A 21,759-nucleotide genomic window follows, 5' to 3' on the forward strand; every position below is an offset into this window, starting at 1 on the left:
ATGTGGTGTTTGGCATTCTGTTCCTGTATTAGTTTGCAGAGAATGATGGTTTCCAGCTTCATCCATATCCCTGCAAAGGACATGAACTCATCCTTTTTTATGGCTACATAGTATTTCACGGTGTATATGTGCCACATTTTCTTTATCCAGCCGATCATTGATGGGCATTTGCATTGGTTCCAAGTCTTTGCTATTGTGAACAGTGCTGCAATCAACATACAGGTGGATGTGTCTCTATAGTAGAATGATTTATAATCCTTTGGGTATATAGCCAGTAATGGGATTGCTCGGTCAAATGGCATTTCTGGTTCTAGATCCTTGAGGAATCTCCACACAGTCTTCCACAATTGCTGAACTAATTTACACTCCTACCAACAGTGTAAAAGCATTCCTATCTCTCCACATCCTCTCCAGCATCTGTTGTTTCCTGACTTTTTAAAGATCGCCATTCTAACTGGCGTGAGATGGTATCTCATTGTGGTTTTGATTTGCATTTCTCTAATGCCCAGTGATGATGAGCTTTTTTTCATGTTTGTTGGCCACATAAATGTCTTCTTTTGAGAAGTGTCTTTTCATATCCTTCACCCACTTCTTGATGGGGTTGTTTGTTTTTTTTCTTGTAAATTTGTTTAAGTTATTTGTAGATTCTGGATATTAGCCCTTTGTCAGGTGGATAGATTGCAAAAATTTTCTCCCATTCTGTAGGTTGCCTGTTCACTCTGATGATAGTTTCTTTTGCTGTTCAGAAGCTCTTTAGTTTAATTAGCTCCCATTTGTCAATTTTGGCTTTTGTTGCTTTAGTCATTTGCCCATGTCTGTGTCCTCAATGGTATTGCCTAGGTATTCTTCTAGGGTTTCTATGGTTTTAGGTCTTACGTTTAAGTCTTTAATCCATCTTGAGTTAATTTTTGTATAAGGTGTAAGGAAGGAGCCCAGCTTCAGTTTTCTGCATGTGGCTAGCCAGTTTTCCCAAGATCATTTATTAAATACAGAATTTCTTCCCCATTATTTGTTTTTGTCAGATTTGTTGAAGATCAGATGGTTGTAGATGGGTGACGTTTTTCTGAGGCCTCTGTTCTATTCCATTGGTCTATATATCTGTTTTGGCACCAGTACCATGCTGTTTTGGTTACTGTAGCCTTGTAGTATAGTTTGAAGTCAGTTAGCATGATGCCTCCATCTTTGTTCTTTTTGCTTAAGATTTTCTTGGCTATATGGGCTCTTTTTTGGTTCCATATGAAATTTAAAGTAGTTTTTTCTAATTCTGTGAAGAAAGAGCTATGATGACTAAATGTAATGCCTTAGGATGGGTGGGATTCTGAAACAGAAAAAGATGTTGGATAGAAACCAAGAAAATCCAAATAAAATATGGAGTTTAGTTAATAATAATTTGTCAGCATTGTTTCCTTAATTGTAACAAATATACCATACCAATGTAAGATGCTAAAAGGGAAACCAGGTGTGGGGTACACAAGAATTATCTATAATATGTTTACAATTTTTCCGTAAATCTAAAGCTGTTCTAGAGTTTTAAGTTTATTTGTTTTTTAAATGCCTCAGTTTGGAGGCACCATATACCGATCCTTGAAAGGATGTGGTCAGGTCTCTCAGAAAGAGTGAAGAGGCCAGGCGCAGTGGCTCACGCCTGTAATCCCAGCACTTTGGGAGGGCAAGGCAGGTGGATCAGGAGGTCAGGAGATTGAGACAATGCTGGCTAACATGTTGAAACCCTGTCTGTACTAAAAATACAAAAAATTAGACGGGTGTGGTGGTGGGCGCCTGTAGTTCCAGCTACTGGGGAGGCTGAGGCGGGAGAATGGTGTGAACCCAGGAGGCAGAGCTTGCAGTGAGCTGAGATCAGGCCACTGCACTCCAGCCTGGATGACAAAGCGAGACTCCGTTTCAAAAAAAAAAAAAAGAGAGAAGAAAGTGACTGGATAATTGACCTGGTATTTACATTATTGGGAAGCACTGACCCTATCTAATGTTGGATTTCTGGGCTTCTGGTGTGCTCTTTTCCTTTTTCTCTCCTGTTCTCAATCAATATTGTAGCCCACTCTCCCCAGAAAAGAGCTTTTGGTGACTTGGAAATGAATGAGTTTCATTCCCCCTGCCTGAATTATAGATTTAACTGTAAAAGAGATACCATCTAATTTTATTACCGATACCACTAAAGCATAACCCTAGTTTGGGGAGAGATCTGATCTTTATGCGGTTTGCGGAGTAGAATGTAACCACCAATTTGTTTCTGGTATTGCTAAATGAACTAGACTTATACTTTTGTTGTTGTTATACTACTTATAATTGCTCTTTTGTTACTTTAAAAATTCAAATAGTTGTAATTTCATCTGGTTTGACCAAATAATAATGTCAAGAATAAAAGGGAATAAACATTTATTTGAGCATTGAAAAAGAATCCATAAGTGTAATTCATCATATCAATAAATTAAATTTGACTACAAAAGAAAAGCCATATGATCATCTCAATAGATGTAGAGAAACCATTTGACAAAATTCAATGTCATTAGTGCATGGTAGAAACTCCCAGGAAAGTATAAATAAAAGGGAACTTTCTCAACTTGGTAAAGGGCATCTACAGAAACTGTACAGTTAATCTTATTACTAATGGTATGTGATAGTGAAAGCTTTCTCCCTAGATATTAGAATCAAGAAAAGATGTCTGTTTCCAATACTTTTATTCAACATTATTCTGGGGATCTTAGTCAGTACAATAAGCTTTGAGAAAAAAGAAATAAAATACAAACAAATTGGAAAAAAAGAAATAAAAGAGTACTTGATTATAGATGACATGACAGTCTTGGTAGAAAATCCTAAAGGATCAAAAAAACCGTGGCCAGGCATGGTGGCTCACGCCTGTAATTCCAACACTTTGGGAGGCCGAGGCAGGCAGATCACTTGAGGTCAGGAGTTCGAGACCAGCCTGACCAACATCGTGATTCCCCTGTCTCTACTAAAAATACAAAAATTAGCCGGGCATGGTGTTGCGTGCCTGCAGTCCCAGCTACTCTGAAGGCTGTGGCAGGAGAATAGCCTGAACCCAGGAGGCAGAGGTTGCAGTGAATGAAGATTGTGCCACTGCACTCCAGCCTAAGCAAAACAGTGAGACTCTGTCAAAAACAAAAATGTCTAGAAATAATAAGCGACCATAGCAAAGTCACAGGATATAAAGTCAGCATCCAAAATATATTGTAGCTGGGCGCAGTGGCTCATGCCTGTAATCCCAAGACTTTGGGAGGCAATGATGGGAGGATCACTTGAGGCAAGGAGTTTAAAACCAGCCTGGTCAACATAGCAAGACCCCGTTTCTACAAAAGAAAAAATTTTTTAAAATGTTAGCTAGGTTTGGTGGCATATACCTGTAGTCCCAGCTGCTGGGAAGGCTGAGGAAAGAGATTAGCTTGAGTCCCGGAGTTCGAGGCTGCAGTGAGTCATGATTACGCCACCACACTTCACCTGCGTGACAGAGCAAAACCCCTAAACCCTGTCTCAAAAGAAATTTTATATATATATATATATATATATATATATATATATATGACATTAAAAAGATCAAATTGTAAACTGCCTCTGAGAAATTCACCTGACCAGTAAAATATATATGTAAAATATATATAAATAGATAACATATAAAAATATATATGGAATATATAAATATATAGATAATATATAAATAAATATACATATATACGATATATAAATATATGACATACATATAATATAAAAAGTATATTTATATATTATATATTCTATATATAATTTTTATTTGAAATTTCACGATATATACTGTTTTCATGTATTAGAATGTAACAATTAGAAATTTTCAATAAAAATAACAGCATCAAAAGCTAAATATTTAAGGATCAATTTAACTAAATCAGTGAAAAATCCTGGAAATTTCAAAACATTGTTTAAAAAAATTAAAGAACACCTAAACAAATGGAGACATATACTATGTTCATGTATTGGAAGGTCCAATATTGTAAAGAAATCAATTCTTCACAAGTTATAAATTCAGCATAATCTCAATCAAAATCCCAACAAGCTTTTGTTGTAGAAATTGACAAGCTGACTCAAAAATATATATGAACATGTAAAGTACCCAGAAAAGACAAAACAATTTTTATCTAATTTTTTAGATTGACAAATAGTTATTGTACATATTCTTAGGATATATAATGAGGTGTTGATAAATAGACAGTGATCAGATCAGCATAATTAGCATATCCATCATCTCAAATTTTTATCATTTCTTTGTATTAGGAACATTCAATATCCTCCTTCTAGCTATTTAAACTACATGATATATTATTGTTAACTATAGTCATCCTACAGTGGTAGAGAACACAAGAACTTCCTTTCATCCAGTTTAACTTTTATATTCTTTAACAAATCCCTTCCTATCCTTCCCTTCCCCCAAGTTTTCCCAGCATCAGGTATCCTCTGTTCTATTTTACTTCTATGAGTTCAACGTTTTCTTACCTTCCAAATATGAATGAGAACATGTAGTGTTTAACTTTCTGTTCATGGTTTATTTCACTTAACATAATATCCTCCAATTCTATTTATATTTTCACAAATGATAGCATTTCATTTGTGAGGAGGCAAAACGTAAGAAATTACTCAATAGGCAGCCAGCCTGGGGTCATGTCTGCCCTGGGGTCATGTCAGCCTGGGCTGTTACTCAGATGTAGGATGTGGGCTTTTGGCTGTATGGCCAGCCTGGGATCATACCTGCCAAGAGTGGCCTGTGAAACTGTTTCTCAGGTCATGATGCTTCTTAGGTCTGAAACACAATTGCAAGGATGCTTGGTTGGCTCAGGGGTGTCCTCACCAACAGCAGCCCAAAAAACTGTTTCTCAGGCCCGGAATGTGGGTACATGGCTGCTTGGCCAGCCTGGGGCATGTCCACCTGGATTGGCCCACAGGGCTGATACTCAGGTCTGGGATAGGTGTTTTTGGCTATTTGGTCAGCTTAGTATCATACCTGCCAAGAGTGGCCTGAGGAATTGTTTCTCAGGCCCTGAATGGGGATACAGGGCCACTGGGGCAGGCCAGGGCTCTCTCTGGAGGGTGCAGGTGTGCTGTGGGACTGTTTCTCAGTTCCTGGGTGCAAGCACATAGCCACTTCACTGGCCCTGGAGCATATCAGCTGCTCACAGGCTTGGGGGCCTCTCCTGCTTTGGGGAGGGTATGCAGCAGTTTGGCCAGCTCAAGGGCAGGTTCACCCTGAACAGAACAGGACCAGAGCCACAGCCCATCCTTGGCCCATGCTTTACGAATCTGGGATTGAGGTGTTCAGCTTCCCATATGGGCTTGGTGGAATGAAGATGGAGCCCAAGTGCTGGAGAGGTGAAGTGGCTACTGGCCCTCAGAGCAGGGCACACTGCAGAAGTAGCTCTGGTCTCAGTATGGTGCCATGCTATAGCACCATGGCTCACAGGGGATGAATAGAGGGTTGGGGGTCCACACCTTGTTCTCCTAATCTAGGACAATGCAGCTGTGTGAATTCCCAGCAAGACTCCAAACCTGTCTCAGGACTTGTGAGGACTGCTGGATTCACCTGCTATAAGGATTGTAGGTGTTTGTGATGGCAGTGGGCACTGGTGGAGATCTTCTGCTTACCTTTATCCTTGCAGCAGGAAGTCCTTCCTGACTCCAGCAGATCTCACCCAGATGAAGAAGACAGGCTTCAGAGGCCAGGTGCCTCCAGCTGCCCTCCTGTACTTCCAGCCACCACAGCTGCATCTCCATCCCCGCACTGCACTCCAGTGCTCTCCCTTTCATACTCTAGTAAAATCTTAGCTGTTTATTTGTTGCCTGAGTCCTTTCCTGTGGAGGAGGGGATGAACACCAGGTGTCTGTATTCAGCCATCCTGCTGACATCACTCCCAATACAATTTTTTGAAGAACAACAATGTTAGATGGCTTATAAGCCATGACTTTAAGAATTACCATAAAGCAGGTGCTGGGATAACTGCCTATCTATATGCAGAAGAATGAAACTGGACCCTTATCTATCACTATGTACAAAAATTAATTCAACATGGATTAAAAACTTAAATGTAAGACCAAAAACTATAAAAATCCTTGAAGAAAACCTAGTAGGTACTCTTCTGGAAAGCCTCAGCAAAGAATTTATGACTAAGTCCTCAAAAGCAATTGCAACAAAAACAAAAATTGACAAGCGGGAACTAATTAAACTATATAGTTTCTGCATAGCAAAGAAACTATCAAGAGAGTAAAGAGAGAATCTATAGAATGGGAAAAAATACTCACAAACTATGCATCTGACAAAGGTCCAATATCTAGTATCTATGAGGAACTTAAACAATTCGGCCAGGTGCGGTGGCTCACGCCTGTAATCCCGGCACTTCGGGAGGCCAAGACAGGCAGGCAGATCACCTGAGGTCAGGAGTTTAAGACCAGCCTGGCCAACATGGCAAAACTCCGTCTCTACTAAATACAAAAATTAGCCAGACGTGGTGGTGGGCCCCTGTAATCCCAGCTACTTGGGAGGCTGAGGCAGGAGAATTACTTGAACCTGGGAGGTAGAGGTTGCAGTGAGCCAAGATTGCGCCACTGCACTCCAGCCTGGGTGACAGAGTGAGACTCCGTCTCAAAAAAAAAAAGAAAAAAGAAAAAAAATTCAACAAGCAAAAACAAAGAACCCATTAAAAAGTGGGCAAAGGATATGAACAGACATTTCTCAAAAGAAGACTTACATGCAGCCAACAATCATATGAAAAAACGCTCAACCTCACTAATCATTAGAGAAGTACAAATCAAAGCCACAGTGAGATACCATCTCACATCAGTCAGAATGGCTATTATTAAGAAGTAAAAAAAAATATGCTGGCAAGTCTGCAGAGAAAAGAGAATGCTTATACACTGTTGGGAATCTAAATTACTTCTGCCGCTATAGAAAGCAGTTTGGAGATTTCTCAAAGAACTAAAAATAGAACTACCTTTTTACCCAGCAATCCCATTACTGGGTATATAGCCAAAAGAAAACAAATCATTCAGCCAAAAGACACATGCACTCATATGTTCATCACAGCAGTATTCACAATAGCGAAAACATGAAATTAACCTAGGTATCCATCAATAGTGGATCAAATAGAGAAAATATGGTACATATACATCATGGAATCATTTTAAAAGAACAAAATTATGTTTTTCACAGCAACATGGATGCAGCTAGAGGCCATTATCCTAAGTGAATTAATATAGAAACAGAAAACCAAATACCCCATGTTCTCATGAATAAGTGGGAGCTAAACGTTAGGTACACATGGACATAAGGATGGGAACAATAGACACTGGAAGCTACTGAAGGGGGGAAAGTAGGATGGGGACCTATTGGGTACTATGCTCACTACATGCGTGACAGAATAATCCCACCCCAAACTTGCCTCACACAATATACCCGTATAACAAATCTGCCCATATACACCCTGAATCTAAAATAAAAGTTGAAATGTAATAAATAAAAGACGAATTACCGTAAAAGCAGGGACTTAGCAAAGGACAGAAATAAAATAAGCTTAAGGTAATTCAATGGTGAATTAATAGTATTTTCAACAAATCATAATAGAACAAGTAGATATGCATATTAAAAAATAAGCTTCAAGCTTTGCTTCACACCAGATATAAAAATGAACTCAAAATGGATTATTGACCCAAATGTCAAAGATAAATCTACTAAATTTCCAAAAGAAAACATAGGAAAAAAAATTATGACCTTAGGCTAGGTAAAAAACTTTTTAGAGGAGATAACAAAAATGCACAAACCATAAAAGAATAAGTTTATCAGATGGACATAGTCAAAATCAAAAACAGCCAATCTTTGAGAGACAGTATAAGGAAATGAAAAGACAAGCCACAGATTAAGAGAAAATATTTGCACAATACATAACTGATGATCTTCCAGTATCATAGACTCATTAACTCATGAGTTATTCATTCAAACAGCATTTCAGCCTAACTGACTTTTCTTAGGAGATAAGTGTAATCAAGTACAAAATTTACAGTGAGAACTGTTTTGTATTGAAGCAATTATATCTTTTTCTAAAACACATTCAGATGTGAAATGAAGCAATTATTTCTTAATCCAAAACTTCCAAAGCAAGTAATTCCTCTGTGGTTAAATGGTCTGTATTAAATCTGGTTATGTAAGCCAATAACCCAATATTTTAACGCAATAGAAGTTTGTTTCTTACTGTTGTCACAGTCAATTGCAGTTTGAGAGGGTCTAGGGATGATTCTGCCCTATGCTGTCATTTGAAGATTTCATCTTCTTGCTTCCTGTGGTTTTGCTACCTTTATAGGGCCTCGTGTTATTGCACTGGACCTAGCTGGAAGACTGGCAGAGATAGAGTGTGGCAATCACAAGATCGATTTGAAGTGCAAGGTCTGAAAGTGGGGTACATCACTTCTGCCTGCATTCTATTGCCAGAACTCAATGCTATGGCCACACCCATAGGCAGGGAAATGTAGTTAAGCCATGTGCACAGGAAGAAAAGGAAGCAAGTGAGCATATACAATTGCCTCTACTACAGTAACCATGAGAAGAACACATACTTAACCATTTTCCTTTAGTACCACATATATTTTAGTTGCCTAAAATTTTTTGGAGCAAAGTGGATTATAAATCAATCACTTACACTTTCCTTGTCATTAAATTATTTTTATTTATTTATTTATTTTTTGAGACAGGGTCTTGGCTCTGTTGCCCAGGCTGGAGTGCGGTGGTGTGATTTCAGCTTACTACAACCTCCGCCTCCTGGGTTCAAGTGATTCTCCTGCCTCAGCCACCCAAGTAGAGGGGGCTACCGGCACGTGACACCATGTCTGGCTAATTTTTGTATTTTTGGTAGAAATGGGGTTTTGCCATGTTGACCAGGCTGGCCTTGAATTTCTGAGCACAGGTGATACCCCCGCTTCAGCCCCTCAAAGTGCTGGGATTACAGGAGTGAGCCACCACTCCCAACCATCTTGTCATTAAATTATAACCAGTTCAATAACAGGGATGTTCTGTACATGAAAACTTTCCATAGTACTTTATTATATTTACCATTATGGAAGGAGATCATTAAATTTTTGCTATGATCATCAAAAAATGCTATAAAAATGACATCTAATGAAATTCGAAAGTTTCCACATTTGCACCCATGTGTGTAAATATGACTGACTGCACATAAATATCTGAATCCATGTTTCCAGATAAGCTCAAAAAAATAGGTATAGTTCATTATTTATTTTCTTTATTTCTTCTTCTTATCTAGGACAAAAGTGCATATTGACTACCTCATTATATCATCATGTGATAGAAAGAGAAGTAGGGATCCCAGGCTCTAGCTCTGGCTCCCAATACCTGTGGCCTTGACAAACCAGGTCATGTCTCTGGAATTCACCAGTAAAGTAAAAAGTGCGTGCCAGATGATCTCCAAGGTACTTTCTGTTTCTGGTATTCTGAGAGTCTTTATGGGGCCATCAACTCAAGCTAGCTGGCTCCCATTTGGGTCAAAGTGTCTTATCTTTCAAGAAGTGAATATTTTGGTGTCAGAAAGTCAACTGAAATGAAAAGAGAGGGAGTAAGGGAGGCAAGGCGGGAGAGAAAGAAACTAAAGTGAACCAAAATTCTTCTTTACCCTAGGAATTTGTAGAAATTTGTACAATTAACTCTACCCAGGGAAAATTAGTTATTTCTTTTCTCCCCACAAGACATTATTTGGGCCACCCTATGCAGCATAATGAGGCCCTGCCTCTACAAAAAAATTAAAATAAATAAAAAATTAGCCGGGCATAGTGGCACGTGCCTGTAGTCCCAGCAACTGGGGAGACTGCGGTGGGAGGATCACTTGAGCCTAGGAGGTCGAGTCTGCAGTGAGCCATAATCACGTCACTGCACTCCATTCTGGGGGACAGAGGCTGACTCTGTTTTTTAAAAAAGAGATATTTGGGGCTCAGAAAGTCAGTAAACATTGCCACAGATTATAACCTAATCTACCCTGCACCTATTGATTGTGGGACAAGATGTAACATTTCAATGGCTAAGATAATCAAATAAATATTAAAAATATTAAAATTTCCTAATCACCTCTAATTCATTTATAAGGACTAACCACAGATAAGATGATTTAGGTTTCAAAAGAAGCCACATGAAGTAGTGAAAAGAGCACAGAAATGTAAGCTTGAAAATCTATATTCTATTCTGTTCTCTGTTCTGACCCATTTGTAGGATACTGGCAAGTGACTTAAGATCTTTAAATCCCAGTTCATTAATTGAAGAATAAAATGTTTGGATTTGTTGGTATTTAAGATGTCTGGCAACAATGGAATTTCTTGACTCTATGAAAGATGAGACTTATTGAGAAATAGAGGTAACTTTATAACACTGAAAGCCTATCCTAGTTAGATGCAGTAGGAAGGCTCATGAGCAACGTTTTCTTAGAAACCAGAATTCTTGCTTATTTTGGATTTACCACCACTGTTATAAGGAGCAAAAGAAAAACTTTTCCATCCTGGTTAGAAGATAAAAGGATGAGTTAAGATCATATGTCACAGATCTCAAGCCAGCAAAGTTTATAGGTAGAATAATTTAAAAATAAGCAAGTATGTAATCTACATCAATGAAAACATGGGAAACTTGTTTTTTTTTATCATTAATTAGAGCAACAAAACTGGGCAGTGGGGGTGGGGGCAAAGGCTTCTTAAGAGAAATTAATCTCAGTTTCATGCCTCAACTTGAAATGTACCAAACTTTCAGGTAATAGATTTATTTCATAGAAAGCAAAAAGAGAATATGTATTGAAAAAATTATTCCAAATAAAATGAAAATAATTTCCAGCAAAGATTAATATTGCTCTTAGAACTTAAGGTACAGGAATTTTTTTAAAAAAAGAGATTTCATATTCAGAAATATTCTCATAGCAGGAACTTTTTCTAGCGTAATATTAGAAAATTTCCTGAATATTATAGTAGTGAGAAACTTCATTTTAATTTAAATCTATTTTGCTGTTAGATTTCACACACCAAACATCCTATTAGTCTAGGTGGTTCAATTGCATAATAACAGTATTTTTTATCGCTTTAGATGATCTCTTTAGATCTGCTGGATAATTTTATCAATGAGAGAAAATGAAGACTGTTATTTGATTACTCGAGTCTTGAGACAATCATAAGTATTTAGATTCATAAAGCCAAATAAACAAAAGGGGGGTTTGTTGCTGGCCATATGATGAGCACCTAGCTTCTCTGTCGTTAAAAGTTTCCTCACACCTTACGATGTAACAAAACATTTCACAAATAGCCAGAAAGAAAATCAGATTCTTGTGAGGCTTCTCAAGATAGTTATTGTGAATGTTTGTGCATAAACATTCTGAGACAGACAGGGGTGCGCACCCTCCTGCACCCCACCGCCACACACAACCTATCTCAGAAATTTGCGAAAACATAGTCTAACAGTTTCTGTGGAAAATGCCTCATTAATCTTGGGTGAATCACCATAGGAACCTGTGGAAGGTGAAATCTTGAACAGGATGGAGCCTTCTCATCAGTCATTGATTAGTGTTAGAAATAACTCCTACTGTTTCATGTTACCTACAATCTTCAAAGTAATAATGGTTTTCAGTACAGAAATAAGTTAGAAATATTTCGAAGATAATGACTCAGATGTTATTTTAGAATTCCCCATTACACTAAATATCTAAAACAATAAAATGTTTACAGTTATACTTTGTTCTCTGCCCGATTTTTTCTAACTTTCCACGAATTCTCCTGTATCTCTGGATTATCTATGCCTCTGTTCTCAATTAAAATCTCCAAAGAATGGAAAGACTGAAATACAAGAAAAAGAGACAGAAGCTACAAGAGAAGAGAGAAGAAATAAAAAAGAAAGACAGGAACTTCACGTTCTTAAAATAAAAGGTAAAACTTCCCTTCTAGACTCTATTGCTCAAGATTTTCAGCATTGACCGCGATAACAAAAACTTCTAAGGCTTTTCAAAGTAAGTCTTTCGAAAAATTTCACTTATTTTTTTAACTCACTAACTATATCCAGAGGGAAACAAAATTCAACTGAAATATGAAACTCTCTTGGATGTCATAGACAGCCCATACTACATGTTTTCCAAAAGGGAGGAAGTTTTCCAAAAATTTGTAGAATGAGGTAGGTGTTTGTTCATTCTGGGCAAATCATCCATTAACACTCAGAAGACTTTTAAGTATGCCATGAGAGATTCTACCCATAGTCTCTATAGCACTTGTATTTCTTCAGCTAATTATATGAACACATTAATTAACAGTGGCAAGGACAAGCCTCAGCCCTCTAAAGGCAGGCAGTGACTTTACAATTCACAGAGAATAAATTGGAATCAAAATAAGGCTTGGCTTCTGTCAATGGTGTGCTGGTGCGTGTGCCAGGCTTAACGCCAGGCTTTCCAAAAGGGAAATAAATAAATATGTATATATGTATATATTATATATATATATATATATATAATATACCTGTGTTTATTATTTCTTATAAATTTTACTAATATACACAATGTATAGTATACAAATTATAAGTAATAATGAAATACCTAAAACTATTTTACATTTTATATAGCCAATTTATTCTCACAGAAGGCTTTTGTTTATTTTTGCCAGATTCTTAAATCCATAATCAATCTTTTTACAATTAATGAATGCGGTATCAACGTGAATGTTGGCTAATATTCCATTTACCTTAACAAGCAAGGTGAAAGTAAACACGTCAAAGTATGTTGGAACTTTATTCATGTATCAGGGATGTGTTCCTTTGCTGAATCAGATAATAGTTTGCAAAAACAGTACTGGAAGGATATGTCATCAAATTGTGTGCTATTCACAAGGTAGCAGCTACAGCTACAACATCCACATCCTTTTAGGTTTGATCTGTGTTCTTAACATTTCTTCCATAGCTTCCTCAAGTCTAGACTACCAAAAATAAATAAATAAATATTAAAGGCTTGATTCTTAGTGTTTGCTGATTTCCATGGTTTAAGTACTCCCACAATGACAGAATTTAAGCTACCAAAATCCCTGAACACGGAGTTTGGAAGAGATATGCAATAGCACAGCATTATATAGTATTTCCACCAGACGGACACAATAATTATAAATAATCTCAAGAGCACAGATAATATTATGATGTAAGTTAATTAGAAACTAGTGAATTTTGATTATTACCTTTCCTTTTGGTATAATTTATTTAATTGTAAGTTTAACCACTCCAATTTTCATTATTGGCTGTCTTTAACAACCAGATCACAAAATACCTGACTATTTAATAATCTGTTCTTGTGAGCCAGTGTGAACCAGCTACGGCACTTCACTGCCTCTTGTTCAAAGTTTACTGGGAACTTGAGTACTGAACATTTTGTTACAGCTTCATGAATCTAAATTCCTGTCCAGGTAAAAGATTACTGGAGTTACCAGAAAAGAATTTTGTTTAACTTCATCTAAGACTAAGACTATACCACTTAATAAGTCCTAAATTTGACAAATGCTTTTGAAACTTAATTTGTTAACATTATGAACTTCTTACCTCAATGTGTATTTACACATCACTGAAGAACAATAAAGGGTAGTTTACATGGGTTGACATGCTACATAGGCTTAAGGGCTTTCTGTTTCTTTGTTTCCAAAACAGATTACAGTGATCAGAATAGAGGTAGCAGGCAAATAGTCTGCTTATTCTCGCTGAAGCCATTCAGAGCAAAATTTATTTATACTATAAAATGCCAAGGCCTATAAAATTCCCAAAGCCCCATCTTTAAGAATGTAAGCAACAGATACTTGGATGTACAGACCAGAGTTTGGCCAGAATTCCATTAAGTGATCTTGAGTCCTATCAAAAAGCTAAGCTAAAAGATACATTAAAATAAGTAATATATTTAGTTGTGAATAAAACTGTGCCTCTAAAAAGTGAAGAGACAGTGACAAAGCAGAAGGACCAAGAGGGCCAGGAAGGTGGCCTCAAAGAGGGTCTGAATCGAAATTCCAGTCAAGCGGCTACACTAACCATGTAACTTTGGGAAGTTATTCAATCAGTCTAATCTTCAATTTCCTCAAAGATAAATTAGAGATGGCAGTACTATCAGGATTATATGAGAGACTATTTGAACATCACCTGGCACATAGTAGCAGATCAGTAAGTGACAGTATCATGAAAACATACTCCCTTCTGCCTAACCAGAAAGGCGAAGACTCAGGTGGGAACCTCATTGCGAATACGTGTGAGTAATTACTCAAGATTCTTTCTCTTGGAAGATTTTATTCAAAGGTGAAGTAAGCAAATACTAGCATTAGCTCCAAGGCTACCTCAGCCCCCAAATATCTACAACACACAGTTGGAGTTTGTCCTTTGAGTTAAGGCAATGCACATGAAATATGGGACTCTGAAGCTATACAGTATTTGATCACCATCAAATACAAGATATTTGGAAGTACTGCTAAACCTCTGCAGTCTGTTACAAAACAATAATAAAGCAGAGGTGTTAAATATCTGCTATCTGCTATTGAAAGAAATACAAACCATTCAAAAGGCACAATTTAGATATGATGAGATTAGAAAATTCCATTTTAGATGCATATTTTACCTGAAATTGATTTCCTTAGCCCTCAGTAGCCACTAATTTATTAATCTGTATTAGTTTTTCCATTTCATTTTTCTGAGAGAAGGTGGAGCAAAGAACAGGTAACTGATTTAGGTGAGGATGGGAAACTCCTACCACCTGGGAGGGCAGTCTTCACGGCATGAGGCAGTGATGGGCTTGGGCTGACCGCAGCTACTGGGGAGCAATGGGGGGCAAGACAAGGGAAGAGCTGCTCCAAACAAAATGATTTCATTTTCTAGTTTTTTTGTGAAAACACTTCTGTCCACAGTCATAAAATCACTTTCTTTGAGATACACAATATTTTCTTGGCTATTCTCATTAATATAGCAATATTATAACAATTTTGTAAATTTTAAAGAAATTACTGGGACCTTTAACTGCAAAAGTCATCTTGTGAGGTAATGAACAAAAAAGAAATGCTTCAACTGAATTAATAGTACTTCTTCATGCTTGTAGGACTCTAGAAAAAGTGTATGAGCTAGAATTTTGGAAATAGCACGTAACAGAAACAACAGCCAAGTGGGAAATTAAAGTCCAAAAGCAAAAGCAGTGGCAGTTCCAGAATGTTTCCAAAGGAGAGGCATAGGGGTCATCTTTTAGGTGGAAAGAAAACTAGGGAATTTTCCTTGATACAGTATTTGCAGAGTTTTTGCTTACAGGATATATTTATTTAGAGTAACTTGGTACCAGGAGTTGGAGGGGGCCCTGACGGAGATTATGAGTGAAATAAAGTCCCTACAAGACAAAAAAAAAAAAAAGTCTCACATTTCTTTGCCCATATACCTGGAATTGCTAAAATGAGAAGGGAAAAAAATCTAAAATTATATCCTTAGCTGAAAAACTTTACCCAATATTTTTCTGCTTATAAGAAACTAAGTTTAATCAATAATCAACATTGATTGCCTACAATATGTTTGGCATAGAAATTGGTACTGGGTAGGAACAAAATATGTTCTCTGCCCTCTTGTTGCTTAAATCAGGAGAGAAGACGGACATCAGGCAAGAAAGTGGTGTGATTGGTTTCAGAGGAGGAGGAAGGATGAGTGGAGATTCAACCTGGTCTAGAGGGTCGGCGAGGTCTCCCTGAGGAAGTGGCATTCCAAAAGGGGTTGCCTAGGCAAAAGCTGTGAGTTAAGGGGTGAGAGAGCTGAAAGGAGAACAGGAACAGAAAACATTTCTAGCAGAAGGAACTGAGTGTGGGAAACTCAAGAAGCAGAACGATAAAGAGTCTGAGGAATTTAAAAATCCTATCTGTCTGGAGCCGTGAGGGTGTTATCGGCCAAAGTCTGTAAGAAACAGGAAAACCACATTGGTAAGTCTAACAAAGAGAATTGAGAATTGCTTCATAGGCATGAGACAACAAAAGACTATAACTTCAAGAAACAGGAATCCCTAAGGCTAGGAGTACAAGGAGAAGAGAATAGGGTTACTAGAACCTAGAAGCTTGGAGGAGGGACCAGAGCTGGAACCTAGACCTCGGAGCAAGGGACTCTGGCCAACAGATCCTGATGGTATCTGTGGGGACACAGTGAGGCTGTTTTGGGTTTTGCAGGGAGGCTGGAGCCCACTGCTATTAGGGTGAAGAGCTCCTGCTGGGGTGATCTGCATACTCGGGAAAAACTCAAAGGAGCCTGCAATCACCCCTACCTCGTTGTTGCCAGCAGCATCTCATCCTTATGCTGCTGTTGTAAGATCAGGAGGCTGTTGCCCTAGTCTAGGTGAGAGAAGGCAGTGACCTGGACTGGGGTGATGTGTAGCAGTTATTTAGTAATATAAAATCTGAAGAATTTGTGATGGATTACACTGGAAACGGAAGGAAAGGGAAAGAACAAGGACAACTCATAGATTTCACCGGAGCAAGTAGGTGGGTGCTAAGGCCATGAACCAATACAGGGTTCCAAGTAAGAAAGGAGGGGTTGAAGAACAGAAGTTTAATTTGGGACGCCTATAAGGCATTCAAGCAGGAAGAGGGGCTAGAGCTTGGGGGACATAAGTGATCTAGAAATATAGTTTGGAAAACTTAGGTAGGACAGATAGTAGCTGAAGCCATGGAAATGAGTAATCTAGCCTAGGAGGGTATTTAGGTCACCAAAGAGGGCTTGGACAATGCTGGAGCAAACTTTTAAAGGAAGCTGTACCATACATGAGCTAAAATGCTTCTCTTTGATCATCCACACGTACAGCCGTGAACTGGAGAATTATCACTGAAATATGAGAGACAGCAACATACCAGCAGAAGAAAAGACAATAACCTTATCAGTCGAAATTATTCTGGTTGTTGCTAAGCAATTTAAATTTGATAGAAGCATAAGTTTACTTCTGAATAAAATTACCTGTCAATTTATACCTTTTTATCAACCGCTATCTTCCACCACTGGAAAATAATGCAATTGAATCTGACACTCTCTTTAAGAAAGTCTCCACATGCATAGCCAATTGCATTTTGATATGGAATTGCCCCCCTTTTTAATATTAATACTTGATTTACAACTGTATATTCATAGTTAAAAACTACCATTTTATTAAAGTATATCAAGTTGTTTTATTCTCCATTATTTTGCTTTTCACTTAATCTTTTTAATTCCTGCCCCAAATTAGAGTAATTCACTCCAACCAAAGCCTATTGTAAATGTATGCTGCTGGCTAAGTGTTCTCTTTTCAGTTTAAAGGGGCATCAGTCAGGACTCTCCATTCTTCCCAAAACTGCAGAGTGAAAAGTACAGCTGCTTCTTTCAAGGAAAGTGAAAAAAAAATGAAAAAAACTGAAGCCAAGTGTTTTGCTTTTCTGTTATTTTAAAATTCAAACTCTCAGAAGAGCTTCAATTTCTGTCTTTGATCGCAAAAGCAATTTATAAATAGGAAGAATTACTAAAGAGGTGGGATTTATCCTTTTCTTTTAATCCAGATTTTTCTGACATTTCAACTATTTCTAAAAAAAGATGAGAAGGTAAGATCTCTGCAACAGCTCTGCAAGGGTGAAATAACAGATACAAAGCTTTATAACATTTTTATGTATTGAAGTTTTTAAACTATACTAGAATAAAGTTACAAATTTCAGGTAGTTAGCAAGAAATTTTGCCTGACTTTTGTATTTTTTTCTCCTCAAATCACCTTACAAAGTGTTTTTAAATCGTGACAACCTCCAGAATTTCTCATTTTATTTGTCTTGGGCTCATAAGTCTCTTTCATAGATATTTCAGCAAGGATTGGAAAAGGCAGGGTGAAAAAAAGAGTAAGACTTGCTTCATCATTTTAAAAACATCAGAACTAAAATATATTATGGACATAAATACAAACTTAGAGTTTCCAAAGTGGATACAATTTGTGCAGCTCAATGTTTGATATCTAGATATATTTGTAACATCTCAAAGCACTCTGCCCTGATTTTTTTAGACAGATTTACAGAACCCAGCTTAAGTTAACAGAAGTTGTAAATTATGTCTAAGTGGAATTTATAAACAAAAGTTAAAGTTGAGCATGCAAGGGAATATTGAAAAGTTTGCATAATGCTGTCAACATCTACAGTGCCAATGTTCATCCTTTCTTTTGTTATTAGCTGAACTTTTTTCTGTATACATGGATATATGTCTGAGTAAGTACGTGTGTACAGATGTATGTTTTCAAATGAAACAAAGCTGTGCAGTTATTATCGCAGGGGCCGACTGGTCTCTAGGAGCACGTGCTTCCCCTGGCCTATTAAAATACAGTACCAACATTTCCCTCCTGTAGCATTGTGAGTGTGATCTGACGTGAGCTTGCGTTTCTGGGAAAGCGCCTGGAGAATAGCAATTTAATTTAGAAACTGCTCAGCGTAAGTGTTGGGTAGGGTTTGACGGTACTGCATCAGGTGATGAGATAAATTTTCAGAGATACCACAAAGAAAGGTTGGAAATGTCATCAGAGAGTTTATATTAAGTGTAGTTTTCCTACAAAGAAATTGATTTTAAACACCATTTAAATTTATAATCTGTGTCAGATTTCAGTGTTTTATTGCATTACAGAAGTTAGATATTAGTACCTTGTTTTCAAACTGTTTTGGTACCTAGTATGGGCTTTTTCTTGAATTGCAAACATTGCTATTCTTTTGGATACTATTAAGCTAATAGCCAAAATGGAAATTCGTATGTCATGGAGATGACAAATATGTCTCCTGCTAATTGAAATGCTCTAATGTTGTTAAATAGTATTTTCGGATATGTTTACTCTTCTATAGCCTTTTTCATTCTTATTATACAGTCAGATGTTAAAATATGTGCATATATATATATATATATATATATGCACACATGCATATACACACATAATTTTATAGTTGGATTAGACCTAGAATGTCTTCAAAAAAATTATGAAAAAATTCCTCCTTCTCCACTTATCATCATTATCTAAAAAGCATGCATTCAGCTCAAATTTTATTGAGCACGCACAATGCATCTTAAGTAGTATTATATATTGTCCCTGAAATTAATAGGGGAAAAATATTTCAGTCTAGATGAAAATCGTGTTCATTAGTAACCGATACAATGTTATTTCCAAGGATACTCAACTTTATTTTCCTTTTGATGACACTCCGTGGAGAGAAAAAGTTGTTTAATTCTAAAATTGGACTGTTTCTTCTTAACTGGCCTATCAGCTTGCTTCTCTTCCTGCCTTTTTATTGAATCCATACTTTGTATTTCAGTGGCCCATTAAATTCTTCCTGCTTTTTAGAGTTTCTTTGAAAATATCTTGTGAATACTGCAGGAGAAAAATTGCACTGAGTGTTACAAATCTCCTGTATTCTCTAAACAGGGACAGAAATGTCTTTGGGTTTTGTTTGCTTTGTTTTGTTTTGTTTTTAAAGGAAGGATAGAACATTAACACATGACAACAGTGAGATTACACAGATAAATTTTTGAGTCCTTTTATCTAGTAAACATTCTAATGACCTACTTCAAAGGCAGGCTGGGAAGAAGCCTCCCTGTCCTCCTGCCAGAATGAGAGGCGAAGCTCTTTACCACTCATATGGGAGATATGAGGAGACTTTGAATGGATCATTGCTTTTTATGAGTAGTAATGAGGTGAGAAGTATTCTAGTGTGTGGCACAGGCCTTCATTAAGAAGCGTGAAACAGAATGGCTTATGGTTAAAGGGGGTAATTTGTTCTAACATACTTGCTAAATTGTGTTGTAACCATGCCAGTTAACAGCACTATATTTTCCATAGGATTCCTGAGTGCATTTGTGTGCAATTATTCTTCCCATACAAAATTCAGGGATTTTTCCAATAGCTTGTGTTAACTAGTTGACAATGCTCACTCCTTCAGTGGAAAGTACACGGAGCCCCACCGTTAAAAAGGGGTGAAAGAATCCAGAGATGTTCTCATTCTCTTTCTAAAGCCAAAGGGTTCTTGTAAAATCAAAAATTCACAGAACCCAAAATTAAATGAATACCATTTGTCCAAAAGGTAACATCAGAAGTAATAGGTAGTTTAATAACTACAAAGCTTCAATTTTCAAATATGCATTATAATTAATAGAATCCATAAGAAAGAAAATAAGATTTGGTGGTTTCAAGTCCTTCATTAAAAAAAAAAGACAAGAAAAACTGAAAAGTAAGAGCAATAATTTTGCTACATTTGTGAGGAAATTCTGCTCATAACAGAACTTGAAGTTCTACAACATACCAAGATTGCTTGTTCAGACTCTTACTGGGAACATTGAGCTAAGATTTTGTTCACTGGAAAAATCTTTCTACTTAGAGAAACATAACATGAAAACATAACATGTTTTTTTCACATGACCAACTATCAAATGAGAAAATGTTGTAGGACAGAAACATAAAGGTTTGGACAAGACCCAGAATTTGGGTATGTCATACGGGAAAACTATTTTATAAGTGGCAACTTTTTAAGACACATTATTACACGGGAAATGTTATAACATTAAAATTTGAGGGGAATATCCCTATGAATTTTCTGGAATTTTCTTGAAAGGCAATAACACGAATATGCATTGTTTTATAAAATATTTTGTAACTGATGGCACAATATTATTGTAATAAAAACATTAATTAAATATAATTGATAGACAATCACAGACTGAAAATGGAGACTTAAAATTTAAGCACCAAAAACCTTTACAGTGAAACAGGAAGTATTCATGTTTGTCCACTCTCTGGAATTTTTGAGCCTTTGCTGTGGGGGAGAAGAATTTCCGTTTTGTCACTTTCCATCCATTTCATTATTATTCAGTTTTTGCACATTCGTTATTTGATATTTTGAAAACAATGTTTGCAATCATAGGTAAGTACATGATTCTAGCTTCAAAAATAAATACTGTCAAACTTAATAGAAACCAGGCTGTGGGCCTCCAATAAATGTAATAGGCCCAGCCTCTCCTTTCTACTTCTTTTATTGGGTTTTCAGGAAAGTCTATGAAAGAAATTCTAATTGCAGCTGCTCCTAGCCAATGCTTAGGTTCTCTTCCCCTTAGAGAGGGAAATGGTAGCTCTGGGCTATACGGTGGAATGAGTGGTTTGGTGTTTGTTTTTTGTTTTCAAGCTAATTGAATATGTAGCATAGTAAATAACAAAAATTATATTTACACATTGCCTAATTTTCCTCACTGCGCCACAAGGGGTAAACCAGATACAGCTGTTATTTGAATACAAAATAACATCTTATTCAATGCTAAATTCACTGACCTAGAATGTTGCCCAGAGAGAACAAATCTTTTTATCAATGTCTGAATAGTTATTCTCAGAATGAATTTCACCTTTCCTCAATTTAACACAAATATGAACACTCTGAGTTAATAAGTGACAACTAGGATAGAAAACCTGGAGACTGACATAGGAAGAAATGTACTTTAAAGGGATATTTACCATTCTTTAAGCTTTCTTGTTATTTTTACTTCTTTTTTTTTTAAGAGACAGAGTCTCACTATATTGCCCTGCTGGTCTAGAACTCCTGGCCTCAAAGAATCTCCTCACCTCTCCCTCTTTAAGCTTTCTTTTGCATTGTGTCTTATTTATATCTGACTGGAAAAATTAAGACTTGTGAGACTGATAAAAAGAAGTAATACAAGGATTATATTAATACAGTGTGAAATGAATGTAT

At 36.9% G+C, this 21,759-nt stretch overlaps 1 long non-coding RNA gene across 1 annotated transcript in view; it reads right to left on the reverse strand.

The window, feature by feature from the left end:
- Nucleotides 1-2,680: 2,680 nt before the first annotated feature.
- LINC02268 (long intergenic non-protein coding RNA 2268) overlaps nt 2,681-21,759 on the reverse strand; it is a 125,739-nt gene continuing 106,660 nt past the window's right edge. The window contains exons 3-5 of the long non-coding RNA NR_125896.1: nt 5,644-5,850; nt 4,753-4,804; nt 2,681-3,474 (exon numbers count right to left, since the gene is read on the reverse strand). This is a non-coding gene — a long non-coding RNA (long intergenic non-protein coding RNA 2268). The remainder of the gene's footprint in view (nt 3,475-4,752; nt 4,805-5,643; nt 5,851-21,759) is intronic.

This window comes from Homo sapiens, chromosome 4 (assembly GCF_000001405.40).
Source record: "Homo sapiens chromosome 4, GRCh38.p14 Primary Assembly".
Classification (NCBI taxonomy): domain Eukaryota; kingdom Metazoa; phylum Chordata; class Mammalia; order Primates; family Hominidae; genus Homo; species Homo sapiens.